Below are 14621 nucleotides of genomic sequence, written 5' to 3' on the forward strand. Positions count from 1 at the left end.
GTATCTGAGTGGAGATCTCGAAACCAATCACCCACGAATAGTGAAGGATGACCGTATATGACTTTTATTTCTCAAATTTAAATATAAATCAAAAAATGTACAACTAGATAAAAACTAAGAAGTGTTTTTATAGTGTGAGTTAGATTTATTTTTTACTAGGTGTAACCCATTGGTTTAATATTATTTATTGAGAAGACATTCTATGCCACCTTAAACCACACGGCAGCCTTTGTCAACTCTAAAGGGACTGTGTGTACATGGATGTATTTTAGACAGTTTCTGCTAAGGGGCTGTCTGTGTCCACACACTTGATGATGCTACACTTTATGTAGCCTTATAGAACCCTTTAAATTTAGTAGCCAGAGCCCTCTAATTTGTTATTATAGGCTATTTGCTTTTTTTTTTCTTGAGGCGGAGTCTTGCTCTGTCGCCCAGGCTGGACTGCAGTGACACAATCTCAGCTCACTGCAACCTCCGCCTCCCAGGTTCAAGCGATTCTCGTGCCTCAGCCTCTTGAGTAGCTGGCGTTACAGGTGCCTGCCACCAGGCATGGCTAATTTTTGGATTTTTAGCAGAGACACGGTTTCACTATGTTGGCCAGGCTGCTCTCAATCCCCTCATCTCAGTTGATCCGCCCACCTCGGCTTCCCGACGTGCTGGGGAAACTTGATTTTCTATAGCATTATGTTACTGGATATTTCTGTAAAATTTAAAATGAGGGAGGCAGAGAGACAGAGAGAGATCAAACTCCAGAGTTGGGACTCTGGAATCTTGGGTCATGAGACAAATTTTAGATTAAACTACAAAACTCCAGAATTTACAGGTGTGGTTTTTGCTGATAAAGTACAATTCTAACATTGTAAATAATTGCATAATCCTTCCCTGGGAATTTAAATCATTTTAACTGGTTCTGCTGTAATACTAGAAATACAAGCATGAAAAATTCTAATGGTTTATTAGTCACAATGACTCTGAAAACCTTAATAATACCTATTAAATATTTTGCATATTACACATGAAGAAGAGTTTGAATCTCAGATAAAAACAATAAAAATACATGAAAAGTCTTTCACGTTAGCACAGATTTTAGGCATCTCGTGTTCAGGAGGTTGGATCTGAGACGTGTTTTGAGTTGGTCATAGTGAAGGACGCTAGGTGTAAATTCTAGTGAGAACAATTTCCAGGAAGCCGTGTTCCGCTCTTGAGCGAGCACCCACTGGGCCTCATGCAAGGTAGAATGAGCCTGCGTACGTCACCCTCCCATGATGTGGTCAACATGTAAACTGCATGGGCAGGGCGCCAAATAACATCCTGTGCGCTGCTGAGCTGAGCTGGGGCACGGCCGCCTGTCTGCACCGGCAGCACCATGTCGCTCACGGTCGTCAGCATGGCGTGTGTTGGTGAGTCCTGGAAGGGAATAGAGGAAGGGAGTGTGGGGTTGGAGATCTGGGCCCAGAGGTGGAGATATAGGCCTGGAGGTGGAGTTGTGGGCCTGGAGTGGAGATCTGGGCCTGGAGTGGATATATGGGCCTAGAGATGGAGTGATGGGCCTAGAAGTGGAGATCTGGGCCTGGAGTGCCGATAGGAACCTGGAGGGGAGATAGGAGCCTGGAGTGGAGATATGGGCCTGGAGGTGGAGTTATAGGCCTATAGTAGAGATATGGGCCTGGAGTGGAGATTTGGGCCAGGAGTGGAGATATGGGCCTAGAGGTGGATATCTGGGCCTAGAGTGGAAATATGGGCCTAGGATGGAGATATGGGCCTGGTTGTGGAGATATGGGACTGGAGAGGAGATATGGGCCTAGAGTGGAGATATGGGCTTGGGGTGGAGATCTGGGCCTGGGGTGGAGATATGGGCCTGGAGGTGGAGTTACGGGCCTTCAGTAGAGATATGGGCCTGGGGTGGAGATATGGGCTTGGGGTGGAGATCTGGGCCTGGAGTGGAGATATGGGCCTGGAGGTGGAGTTACTGGCCTTCAGTAGAGATATGGGCCTGGTGTGGAGATATGGGCCTGGATTGGAGATATGGGCCTAGGTTGGAGATCTGAGCCTGGAGTGGAGATATGGGCCTGGATTGGAGATATGGGCTTACAGTGGAGATCTTGGCCTGGATTGGCGATATGGGCCTGGATTGGCGATATGGGCCTATGATGGAAATATCGGCCTGGAGTGGAGATATGGGCCTGGAGTGGAGATACAGGCCTAGGGTGGAAATATTGGCCTGGAGTGGAGATATGGGCTTGTGGTGGGGATATGGGCTTGTGGTGGGGATCTGGGCTTGGAGGCTGGGTCTCTGCACAGCCGACAGCCCTGTTCTTGGGTGCAGGTAGGCACTGAGGGTGAGTTTAACTTCAGTCCAGGAAGGGCCTGCCTACCAAGACTCACAGCCCAGTGAGGGCAGCAAGGGAGGGCTGGTTTGCCTGCAGATGGATCGTCCATCATGATCTTTCTTTCCAGGGTTCTTCTTGCTGCAGGGGGCCTGGCCACATGAGGGTGAGTCCTTCTCCAAACCTTAGGGTGTCATCTCCCCACATAAGAGGATTTTCCTGAAACAGGAGGGAAGTCCTGTCAGGGAGCCTCTCATAAACTAGGAAGAGGGGACCCTGGGGTGCTCGGCCCACAGTTCCGACCTCGCCTCCCTGGCCTTTCATTCCCTTGGCAGAGTCAAGTTCTGTGGGGACCAGGGTTAGACTGGGGTGCTCAAAGCTGGGGTGCGTGGTGGGGAAGTGGTAGGAACAGCAGATCCTCTGAGGACAAAGGTGTTACTCACACTTCAGCGTTTCCATGACGGTAGGGGCTGCAGTGTGGCTGCTGTCACTCCACCAGAAGAGGTGGGAAACCACAGCCATGGCCCTGACATTCCAAATCCTCTGATGGGGGCTCAGTTGCTTATTTTCATTCAGGCATCTGCTGATATTCCATTCTCAAAGACATGCCCTCCACCCCATGTCTACCCTGTGTTGTTTTATGTGAGTAATCTTACAGTATTAAAATCTAGTAGGAGTCTCTTACTCAGCACTTGCTCAAAGTTCTCAGCTGACACTTTTGTTGTAGGGAGACACCTTGTGTTTGCGGGATGGGTCCTTCCTTTAGCCCTGGGCACCAAGGTGTGATAGCAGCCATAGAAACTTGGAAAGCGAGGAGAATCTTCAGAGCACAGGGAGGGAGGGGTGGCTCCACATCCTCCTCTCTAAGGCGGTGCCTCCTTCTCCCCAAGGTGGTCAGGACAAGCCCTTGCTGTCTGCCTGGCCCAGCTCTGTGGTGCCTCCAGGACATGTGATTCTTCGGTGTCATTCTTATCTTGGGTTTAACAACTTCAGTCTGTAAAAGGAAGATGGGGTGCCTGGCACTGAGCTCTACAACAGAATATTCTGGAAGAGCCTTTTCATGGGCCCTGTGACCCCAGCACACACAGGGACGTACAGATGTCGGGGTTCACACCCACACTACCCCAGTGGGTGGTCGGCACCCAGCAACACCCTGGTGATCATGGCCACAGGTCAGAGGGCTCCTGTCTTGGATTCTCCTTTCCCACCTCCTGAATCCCAGAGCTTCTGGTGGGCGTGTCCTTGAGGGTCCCATCACCCAGGCCCTGACTATATTTGGGGTAAAGGGGGATTGAATACAGGGAAATGGGTGCTGTGGTGGGAAGAATAATTGTCCCCAGTGATGACTACATTCTAATCCCTGGAGTCTGTGACTATTTATGTTATAGGGGAAGGAACTGAAGGGGAAGATGGAGCTCAGGTTGTTGATGAGTTGACCTTGAGATGGGGAGACAGCCTGGACTGTCCCGCTGGGCTCAGTGTAATCACAAGGGTCCACATGAAAGGAGGAGGAAGAGGGGAGTGGGGATTAGAGCAGCGCAATGGGAGACTCCACCAGCTTTGAAGGTGGAGGAAGGCCAGGAGCCATGAATGCAGGTGGCCTGTAGAGGTTGGAAAAGTCAAGGAAATGATTCTCCAGAGTCTCCAGAGGGAACGAAGCCCTGCAGATGCCTTGATTTTAGCCCAGGAAAAACAGGGTCCTATTTCTGTCTCCAGTAGTGAAATGGGTCAGTGTGCTCTCTCCTGCTGCCATGCTTCTGATAATTTTCTACAGCAGCAACAGGAAACCAACACTGGAACCCAGGTCAAGGACAAGGTAAGAAACAACACAAGGATAGCCGGGTGTGGTGGCAGGCGCATGTAATCCTAGCGACTTGGGAGGCTGAGGGCAGGAGAATCACTTGAACCCAGGAGACAGAGGTTGCAGTGACCCTAGACCACACCACTTCACTCCAGCTGGGGTGAAGGAGTGAGACTCTGTCTCCATAATTAATTAATTAATTAAAGGAACCAAACAAGGGGAAGGTTGGCTACACCGAGATGAGCAAGTGTGGGATGATGATGCCACCACCAGGCTCCATCCACATAGGGAGGGGTTGATACTCCTCAAACCAGCACCAGGAGCCAGCCTATGGAAGCTGGCACCATGGAGAAGGCACAGGCATGGCAAGAGTGGCTCCCAGTCCCGACCAGGAACAGGGTGTGTGGACACTGGTGCCTGCCTTATTCATCAGTTCATACCTACTGCCAAGGATTCCAATTCATCCAAAAGAGATTGAACCAGGCTGATAAGAGGCTGGATGTGCAGCCTATCCTGGTTCCTCTTTCACCCCCACATAAACAGCAGGAAAGACATTAGTGTGAAATAGATACAACACCCCAAGAGATGAGGCTAAGCCCAGTGGGAAGGGAATCAGAGGCGACTAGAGACAGAGGGACAGAGAAGAGGGAGGGAGACAGATGGAAGGACCTGCACCAGGAGTTATGGGCACAGAAAAGAACATGAAGACACAGAGAGGAAGGAGAGAGACAGACACCAGCAAGGGGAAGCCTCACTCATTCTAGGTGCCATGGATGGGATGATAAAGAGAGACACCTTCTAAACTCACAACCTCTCTTCCTAGGAGTCCACAGAAAACCTTCCCTCCTGGCCCACCCAGGTCCCCTGGTGAAATCAGAAGAGACAGTCATCCTGCAATGTTGGTCAGATGTCAGGTTTCAGCACTTCCTTCTGCACAGAGAAGGGAAGTTTAACGACACTTTGCACCTCACTGGAGAGCACCATGATGGGGTTTCCAAGGCCAACTTCTCCATCGGTCCCATGATGGAAGACCTGGCAGGGACCTACAGATGCTACGGTTCTGTTACTCACTCCCCCATCAGTTGTCAGCTCCCAGTGACCCTCTGGACATCGTCATCACAGGTGAGAGTGTCCGGACATTCTTCTCATTGTCATTGGGATGCAGAGTGAATGATCCACGACTTGGAACCCCCAGGTAGTTGTAAGGAAGATGAGCTTGGTATTCTTATGGAGAGAGACTGACTTGGTGAGGTCTGTACCAACAGAGACAGAGAAACAGGAGACACAAGTACAGACCAGGTGTCATAACAGAGGACAGACACAGGGGCCATACCGGGAGTTAGAAAAGACAGAAGGAGTTAAAGGAGACAGACAGACAGACATGTCCCAGAGAGAGGTGTCCCTCCATGCTGACTTTGCTCAGAGACCTGGCACAGGTTAGAAGTTTCATTTCTGTTTTACCTCCACAAAGTGTTCTCTACCAGGAGAACCCAAGGACACCCATATTTCTGACCTGAGTTGGGCCCTGTGGCCTCAGGCCTTGTGGCACCTACAGATGCCGTGTTTATTCTGACACCTCTGCCTTCCATGTAATGGAGAGTAACCGTCCCAGGATATCATGGCCCCAGAACACCAACTCCTGTATGCTGTGTGAACTTGTGGTCTCCAGACTGGATTCTGAGGCTCACATTCCAAATAACCCCACATATGAAAGGATCACTGAGAGGCACAGAGAGAAATCAGGGACACCAAAAAGCAAAGACATAAACACACAGAGAATGAGCCAGAGGAAGGAGATTGAGAGACTCACAGACACATAAAGAGAGAGAAAAGAGGGCAGAGGAGTGGTGAGAATGATGGAAGGGAGCAGAGAAAAGCACTAAAATTAGACTCCTGAGGGAGAGGCACAAGGACATAGAAAGATGGAGATGTGGGGATGAATTGCAGAGATTCCAAAGAGAACTAGAGAGACCGAGAGGCAGAGCAAGACAGATGATAGATGGATAGATATAGATAGATGATAAATAGGTAGATGATAGATAATAGGTTAAAGATACATAGATGATGATTGATTGATTCATTAATAGATGAGACATAGAGATGATGATGATGAAGACAGATAGATAATACATAGAGATAGAGAGGCAGACAGAAGTCATAGAGAGAGAGATGATACATAGATATAGATAACAGATGATTGATGGATAGATAGACAAGTGATAGATACATAGATGATATATAGATATAGATGACAGGTAGAGAATTTGTAGATAGGCACCGAATAGATAAATAGATAGATCGATAGATAATAGATAGAAATATGCAGAAAGTTATGAACAGGACACAAAGTGAGAAACTTAGAATTTAAAAAAGTAACATCAAGTCAACCAATCCAAGGAGAGTCAGAGAGAATAAAACAATCCAAAAAGGGAAAACATATCTAGAGGTGTGGAAGCGAGGTCAGAGACCTAGAGAGACAGAGAAGGTGGAAGGAGGAAATAGACATGAAGAGAGATGGGGTGGAGGGTGAGAGAGAGAGAGAGAGAGAGCATTAGGTCATAGAGCAGGGGAGTGAGTTCTCAGCTCAGGTGAAGGGAGCTGTGACAAGGAAGATCCTCCGTAAGGAAAATGCCTCTTCTCCTTCCAGGTCTATATGAGAAACCTTCTCTCTCAGCCCAGCCGGGCCCCACGGTTCTGGCAGGAGAGAGCGTGACCTTGTCCTGCAGCTCCCGGAGCTCCTATGACATGTACCATCTATCCAGGGAGGGGGAGGCCCATGAACGTAGGTTCTCTGCAGGGCCCAAGGTCAACGGAACATTCCAGGCTGACTTTCCTCTGGGCCCTGCCACCCACGGAGGAACCTACAGATGCTTCGGCTCTTTCCGTGACTCTCCCTACGAGTGGTCAAACTCGAGTGACCCACTGCTTGTTTCTGTCACAGGTGAGGAAAGCCCATGGCTGTCCCATGTCCTATGATCCTAGAGCCTTAGCTGAGGAGCTTCCTGCTGAGGATGGAGAGAAGGATGAACAGATGCAGAGAGAAGACGAAGCTTGGGTGTGAGGGAGGGATCAGGGCACAGGATGGCAGACAGGGCACCTCCAAACCCTCCTACATGGCCTGCATGAAGGCCTGCGGCCAGGACTCCAGGCACCCAGGCAGATGGAGAAAGCGGTCAGGAGAGACCCAGAGGAGGGAGACTGGGCTCAGTTTGGGAAGATCAGAGGTTCCCTCAGCCCCTCAACATTACCCATTTCCCAGAAGCCCATCCTGGCCTCCCACCCACACAGGGATGTCATCACCTGCAACCCCTACACCCTTTACTTTTGTTTGAGAAATATTTATTGAGGATAAATATACCTATATAGCTTACCACCTTTAACATTTTTTTTTTGAGGCGGAGTCTAGCTCTGTCCCCTATGCTGGAGTGCATTGGCACAATCTCAGCTCACTGCAACTTCCGCCTCCTGGGTTCAAGCGATTCTCTTGCCTCAGCCACCTGAGTAGCTGGTGCTACAGGCGCGCACCACCATGCCAGGCTACTTTTTGTATTTTTAGTAGAGAGGGGGTTTCACCATGTTGGTCAAGCTGGTCTCGAACTCCTGACCACGTGATCCACCCGCATCAGCCTCCCAAAGTGCTGGGATTACAGGCATGAGCCACCACGCCCAGCCACATTTACCATTTTTAAGTGTAAAGTCTAGTGGTCATAAATACATTAATATATATATATATACACATATTTTTTTTTACCCTCCACCCTTTTCTTCCTGGCCTCTGGTAGCCACCATTCTACTCTCTACCTTCATGAGATCCACCTTTTAGCTCCTGTATATGGGTAAGAAATGGGAATCTTTGTAATGACCTCCAGTTCCATCCATGTGGCTGCAAATATCAGGATGTTTTTCTTTCTATGGAAGAGTAGTCTCCACTATGCAAATGTACCACATTCTCTCTATCCATTCACCCACTGATGGGCAGGTAGGTTGACTCCTCATCTTGGCTACTGTGAAGAGTGCTGCACCAATCATACGAGTGCAGATATCACTTCGATATATTGATTTACTTTCCTTTGGATATAAACCCAGTAGTGAAATTGCTGGATACTATGAAAGTTCTCTTTTTAGTTTTTCGTTTGTTGTTTTGTTTTTGTTTTTGAGACAGTTTCCCTCTGTGCCCAGGCTGGAGTACAAGTGATGTCATCTTGGCTCATTGCAACCTCTGCCTCCTGGGTTCAAATGATTTTCCTGCCTCAGCCTCCCTAGTATCAGGGATTATAGGCGCACGCCACCATGCCTGGCTACTTTTTGTTTTTTTTAGTATAGATGCGGTTTCCCCATGTTGGCTGGGCTGCTCTCAAACTCATGACCTCAACTGAGGTGCCCGCCTCGGTCTCCCAAAGTGCCGGGATTACAGGCATGATCCACCTCACCCAACCTCTTTTTAGTTCTTTAAAGGACTTCCACACTTTTCTCCGTAATGGCTGTACTAATTTACACTCCTACCAACAGGATACCAGGATTCTCCTTTCTCTAACACCTTGCCAGCATTTCTTTTGCCTGTCTTGCAGCTAAAAGCCATTTTATTTTATTTCATTTTATTTTGAGATGGAGTTTCGCTCTTGTCACCCAGGCTGAGTGCAGTGGTGCGATCTCGGCTCACCACAACCTCCACCTCCCAGGTTCAAGCGATTCTCCTGCCTCAGCCTCCCGAGTAGCTGGAATTACAGGCACACGCCACCACGCCCGACTAATTTTTGTATTTTTAGTAGAGACAGTGTTTCTCCATGTGGGTCAGACTGGTCTCAAACTCCCGACCTTATGAGATTCACCCACCTCAGGCTCTCAAAGTTCTAGGATGACAGACGTGAGCCACCACGCCCGGCCTAAAAGCCATTTTAATGGGGTGAGATGAAAACTCACTTTGATTTTAATTTGTGTTTCTCTGATGATGAGTGATACTGAGCACTTTTTCGTATGTGGGGAAATTTCATGTCTTTTGCTCCTGTTTCAATTAAATCATTTGTTTTATTGAGTTGTTTGAGCTTCTTATATTTCTAGTTATTAATCCCATCTCAGATGCATAGTTTGCACATATTTGCTCCCAATCTGTGGGTTGTCTCTTCACTTTGTTGGTTTATTTTTAGCGGTGCAGAAGTTGCTTAGTTTGAGGTAATCCCAATGGTCTATTTTTGCTTCGATTACTTGTGTTTTGAAGGTTTAAAACAAAATGTCTTCCTTCAGACAAACGTCCTGGAGCATTTCCCCAATATTTTCTTCTACGTGTTTCATAGGTTCAGGCCTTAGACTCACATCTTTAATCCATTTTCATTTGATTTTTGTGTATAGTGACAGGCAGAGGTGCAGTTTCATTCCTCTGCATGTCGATGTCCAGGTTTCCCTGCACTGTTTATTGAAAAGACTGTCCTTTCCTGATTGTGAGTTCTTGGCACCTTTGTCAAAGTCCATTGGATGGGCTGGGCATGGTGGCTGACACCTGCAATTTCAGCACTTTGGGAGCCCGAGGTGGGTGGATCACCTGAGGCCAAGAGTTCAAGATTAGTCTGGCCAACGTGATGAAACATCGTCTCCACTAAAAATATAAAAATTAGCTGAGCATGGTGGTCAGCACCTGTAATACCACTACTCAGGAGTTTGAGGCAAGAGAAGTGATTGAACCCAGGAGGCTGTGGTGGCAGTGAACCGAGATTGCACCTCTGCACTCCAGCCTGGGTGACAGAGCAAGACTCCATCTCAAAAGAAAAACAAAAAATACATTGGAGGTAAATGCATGGATTATATCTGTGTTATTCATTCTGCTCCGTTGTTCTATGTGCCTTTCTTCATGCCAACGTCATGCTGTCTTGCTTACTACAGCTCTGTAACATATTTTGAGATCAGGTAGTGTGATGCTCCTGTTTTCTCTTTATACCTTGAAGTCTCAAGACAGTAGCCGTCACATACAAAAATTACGGAAAAAAGGATCCCAGGACTCCCAGGGCCCAATATTAGATAACAGAGTGTTGGCCATGAACCAACCTCAAAGATTTCCACTGAGTAGAGGACAGACACCCTCATTTCCTCACCTCTCTCCTGTCTCATGTTCTAGGAAACCCTTCAAATAGTTGGCCTTCACCCACTGAACCAAGCTCCAAAACCGGTGAGTACAGAACCCTCTTATATCCGCTTTTGGAAACCTGGGGAGGTGGAAACCTTGGATTCAGGCGTTGACTCAGCATCTCACAGCTCTGACATTGTACGCCTGTCTTCTACCATCTCCAAACTCCAGATACTCCAACAGCGAAAGGGATCTGGACCCAAAACAGGGCTCTGTGAAATCTCTTAATCTCTCATTTTATGGAGCTGAGATCTCCTACAAGCTAGAAAAATGATTGGCAATCTGACATCCTTCTCAGGAAAAATGCAATGTTTGTTCTGCCTGCATTCCTAACTGGAGGATAAATTCCTGGGGGCTTGAGAGAGGGAAGGGTAGGGAACATTTGATGAGGGCGAGGTGTTTTAGAGAAGTTCCACTTGCCCAGGAATGAATTACTGTTGGTCATGAAGCAACCCTGGCTGACTCAGCAGAGCAAGAGCTTTGCCTTAACAGAGAACGGAGCTCATGCACGCACACTTCGACTCACTGACTCATTCAGCCACGGCCCCATGCTCAGGCCGTGGAAAAGGCAATTCCCAGCACTGCAGGAGGCCAAGGCGGGTGGATCACTTGAAGTCAGGAGTTCCAGACCAGCCTGGCCAAAATGGTGAAACCCTGTCTCTATGAAAAATACAAAAATTAGCCGAGCATGGTGGTGCATCCCTGTAATCCCAGCTCCTACTCTTGAGGATGAAGCAGGAGAACGACTTCAACCCAGGAGGTGGAGGTTGCAGTGAGTGGAGATTGCATCACTGCACTCCAGCCTGGGTGACACAAGGAGACTCCGTCTCAAAAAATAAAAATAAGAAATGCATAAATATAATAAAACACACACGAATGACAAAGGCACCTGAATTCCAATCATCATTTTTGTATTTCTCTATAATTACTTCTTTGATCCTTTGTCTTATCCATTAGGCAATGAGCCTAAAACCTCTTCCGTATTTGGCTTTCTGTGAGCATGAGACCATATAGAAAATGTGAAAGCCTGCTGAATCCTCCAGCACAGATCGTGGAATAGAGAAAGTGCTCTGTTCATCACAAAAAAAACTTGCCCTCTCACTCAAATCCCCCACTTCACCCCTACTTCCAATCACCTGTGGAGATTCAGATAGACCATGGGGAGGTAAACATTAATACTCCTTGGAGTGAGTCCAGATCTTGGAATGAGAGATCAGCACCAGCACTAGCTCCTGCTCCCCTTTCCTACTAATTCACAGGAGGACAGGTGGTATTGAAGCAATAGATGGTGGAGGGGGTGGTCCTTCCCCCAGCCTCTCAGGTAGAACAGCAGCCTAACATGTGTCTCCCGAGATCACAAAGAGTAGGACGTTTCACAGGGGCTTCAACACGATTTCCTGGCTGTTGGACATAAGATAACTCTATTTCGCTTTTTTATCTTGATTTCACTTTTGTTTCCTTTCCTTGGAGAACGCAAGTTGTTTGACTCAAGAATGCTGTGGATGTAGAAATCCTAAAGCACATTCGCTGTGTGTCAATCCCAGTGCAGTCTTCCCAGAAAAGACCCTAAACACCTCCTAGACTGCACCTGGGCCTACGCCAATTCCTATCACTCACCGTCACTCCAGGGAGACAGAACACACAGAGAATACGTTACATAGGCAGGTTCATTACTAACAGATAAGCAGCGAGTGAAAACAGAAGCCTACATTTCAATGTGAGCCAGTCCCTCAAGGCTCAGAAAAGCTGCTCGGGACATATGGAGTCACCCCATTTGCAGTGTAGCTGGGGGAAGCCAGAAAGCAGCCCAGCCTGGGTTTTGTACCCTGGAGCCACAGGAAGCACTCAGCTAAAGCACTGCATGACGTCCTCCTCCAGGAAGAACAGGAAGACAGCCCAGGCTGCTCTGGGACGTTCCTCCTGATCTCAGGACGTTGCTGTCTTAGTCCATTTTTGTTGCTCTAAAGGAACACTTGAGCCTGGGCAACTTCTAAAGAAAAGAGATTGGTTTGCCTCACCGTTCTGCAGGCTGTACTGGAAGCATGGCACCAGCATCTATTTCTCGTGATGGCCTCAGGCTGCTCCCACTCTGGCAGAAGGGAAGGAGGGTCTGTCTGTGCAGAGACCACAGAGATCACACGGCAAGAGAGGGAGCAAGGGGGAGGGGGAGCGATGGAGCTTCCAAGTTCTTTTGAACAACCAGCTCTCCAGGAACTAATAGAGGGGGAACTAGCTAACCCCGTCTCCTTGGGACAGCATTGATCTGTTCATGATGGATCCACCTCCATGACCCAAACACCTCTCAAGAGGCCCAACCTCCCACAATGGGGGTGAAATTTCAATGTGAGGTTTGAAGGGGTCAAACATCTCAACTAAAGTAGTTGTGTCCTCAGCACATTCTATGGTTACTTTGAGAGCTATAACTGAGAAAGCAGGAGAAAGCTGGGTCTCCCGCCATCTGGGTGCTTGTCCTAAAGAGGTGTTTTACGTGGTTACCTGTCAATCAAGAAATGCGAGACAATTCATAAAGAGGAACTGCTATGATTAGCTTCTTATTGGTGTCTCATCTTCTTCCAGGTAACCCAAGACACCTGCACGTTCTGATTGGGACCTCAGTGGTCATCATCCTCTTCATCCTCCTCCTCTTCTTTCTCCTTCATCGCTGGTGCTCCAACAAGAAAAGTAAGTCTCACGAAGGAGAGGCCAGAGAGCTCAGGGCCATGTGGGGAAGCAGGATGGGAGCACTCAGGTGTGTGTTCCTCACAGGTAGGATGGTCCCTGGCCCAAGGCAGCAGCCACAGAGGCAGGACTTTCTAGAGAGGGCACCAGACTCCCTGTCCCTGCTTTCAGCTCACAGACCGTTGCCTGATTCTGAACTGTATCCTCATGTCCCCTGCAGCCACTCACATCCAGGAGAAGGTTCCATGACAGGCAGAAAGTGGGAGACAGAATCAATGGGATGGGAACTCAGAGCTATTCATGGGATGGGTCCTTGAGCTCAGAGAGATAGAATGTCTGAGTCTGCTGTTGGCAACTGAGGGACCTCAGGCACCTATGGCCTCCCCCTGTTTGTTGGTATCTGCTTATGAAATGAGGACCCAGAAGTGCCCTCCGAGCTCTTTTGTTGACTTCCGTCTCCTACACATGCTGCTGTAATGGACCAAGAGCCTGCAGGGAACAGAACAGCGAATAGCGAGGTAGGTGCTCCTCGGCCCAGCCTCGTGGCTAGTGTTATTCCCAAACAGTCCTGGAAAACGTGAGCACCCTCCCTCACTCAGGATTTCCCTCTCTCCAGGACTCTGATGAACAAGACCCTCAGGAGGTGACATACGTACAGTTGGATCACTGCGTTTTCACACAGAGAAAAATCACTCGCCCTTCTCAGAGGCCCAAGACACCCCCAACAGATACCAGAGTGTACACGGAACTTCCAAATGCTGAGTCCAGATCCAAAGTTGTCTCCTGCCCATGAGCACCACAGTCAGGCCTTGAGGGGATCTTCTAGGGAGACAACAGCCCTGTCTCAAAACCGGGTTGCCAGCTCCCATGTACCAGCAGCTGGAATCTGAAGGCGTGAGTCTGCATCTTAGGGCATCGCTCTTCCTCACACCACAAATCTGAATGTGCCTCTCTCTTGCTTACAAATGTCTAAGGTCCCCACTGCCTGCTGGAGAGAAAACACACTCCTTTGCTTAGCCCACAATTCTCCATTTCACTTGACCCCTGCCCACCTCTCCAACCTTACTGGCTTACTTCCTAGTCTACTTGAGGCTGCAATCACACTGAGGAACTCACAGTTCCAAACATACAAGAGGCTCCCTCTTAACACGGCACTTAGACACGTCCTGTTCCACCTTCCCTCATGCTGTTCCACCTCCCCTCAGAGTATCTTTCAGCCTTCTGTCAGCAGTAAAACTTATATATTTTTTAAAATAATTTCAATGTAGTTTTCCCTCCTTCAAATAAACATGTCTGCCCTCATGGTTTCGGTAATGGGACTCTTTTCTTGCCTAAGACTTCCATTATCATTACCATGTCCACATAACCCCATCTGTTCTCCACTGGGTTCTCACCCCCGGACTCTGAGTTTCTGGAAGCAGGGTGGAGCCTCATTTGTCTCTGGGACTCCTATTTCCATCCAAAGATGTAGCACATAGGAGGTTCCAAGGATCGTGAATCACATGAACAAGTGATATTCTTACTCTCTGCAGACCTGGAAATCTGGCAGAGTCATTCCAAGATGAAACATTTGTAGAATCATAGGCCTTGTTAGTCTCATCTACACAGGGACACATATCAACACATCATCTTTCACACTATAAATATACAGTCACTCCTCCATATCTGTGGGGTTTACAGTTCTTTATTGAACCGAGTA

The 14621-nt window shown here is 48.2% G+C and overlaps 1 pseudogene, besides 1 other annotated feature; it reads left to right on the forward strand.

Annotated features, from left to right (window-relative positions):
* Nucleotides 1100-14225, forward strand: KIR2DP1 (killer cell immunoglobulin like receptor, two Ig domains pseudogene 1; annotated as a pseudogene).
* Nucleotides 10149-11348: an enhancer, noted in NCBI's record as "BRD4-independent group 4 enhancer chr19:55275257-55276456 (GRCh37/hg19 assembly coordinates)". NCBI's record gives its function as "activates an origin of replication core promoter dependent on BRD2, P300/CBP, MED14 and CDK7 cofactors, and independent of BRD4, by STARR-seq in HCT116 cells {active_cell/tissue: HCT116}" and the evidence as "EXISTENCE:reporter gene assay evidence [ECO:0000049][PMID:35650434]".

This window comes from Homo sapiens, chromosome 19, assembly GCF_000001405.40.
Source record: "Homo sapiens chromosome 19, GRCh38.p14 Primary Assembly".
Lineage (NCBI taxonomy): Eukaryota > Metazoa > Chordata > Mammalia > Primates > Hominidae > Homo > Homo sapiens.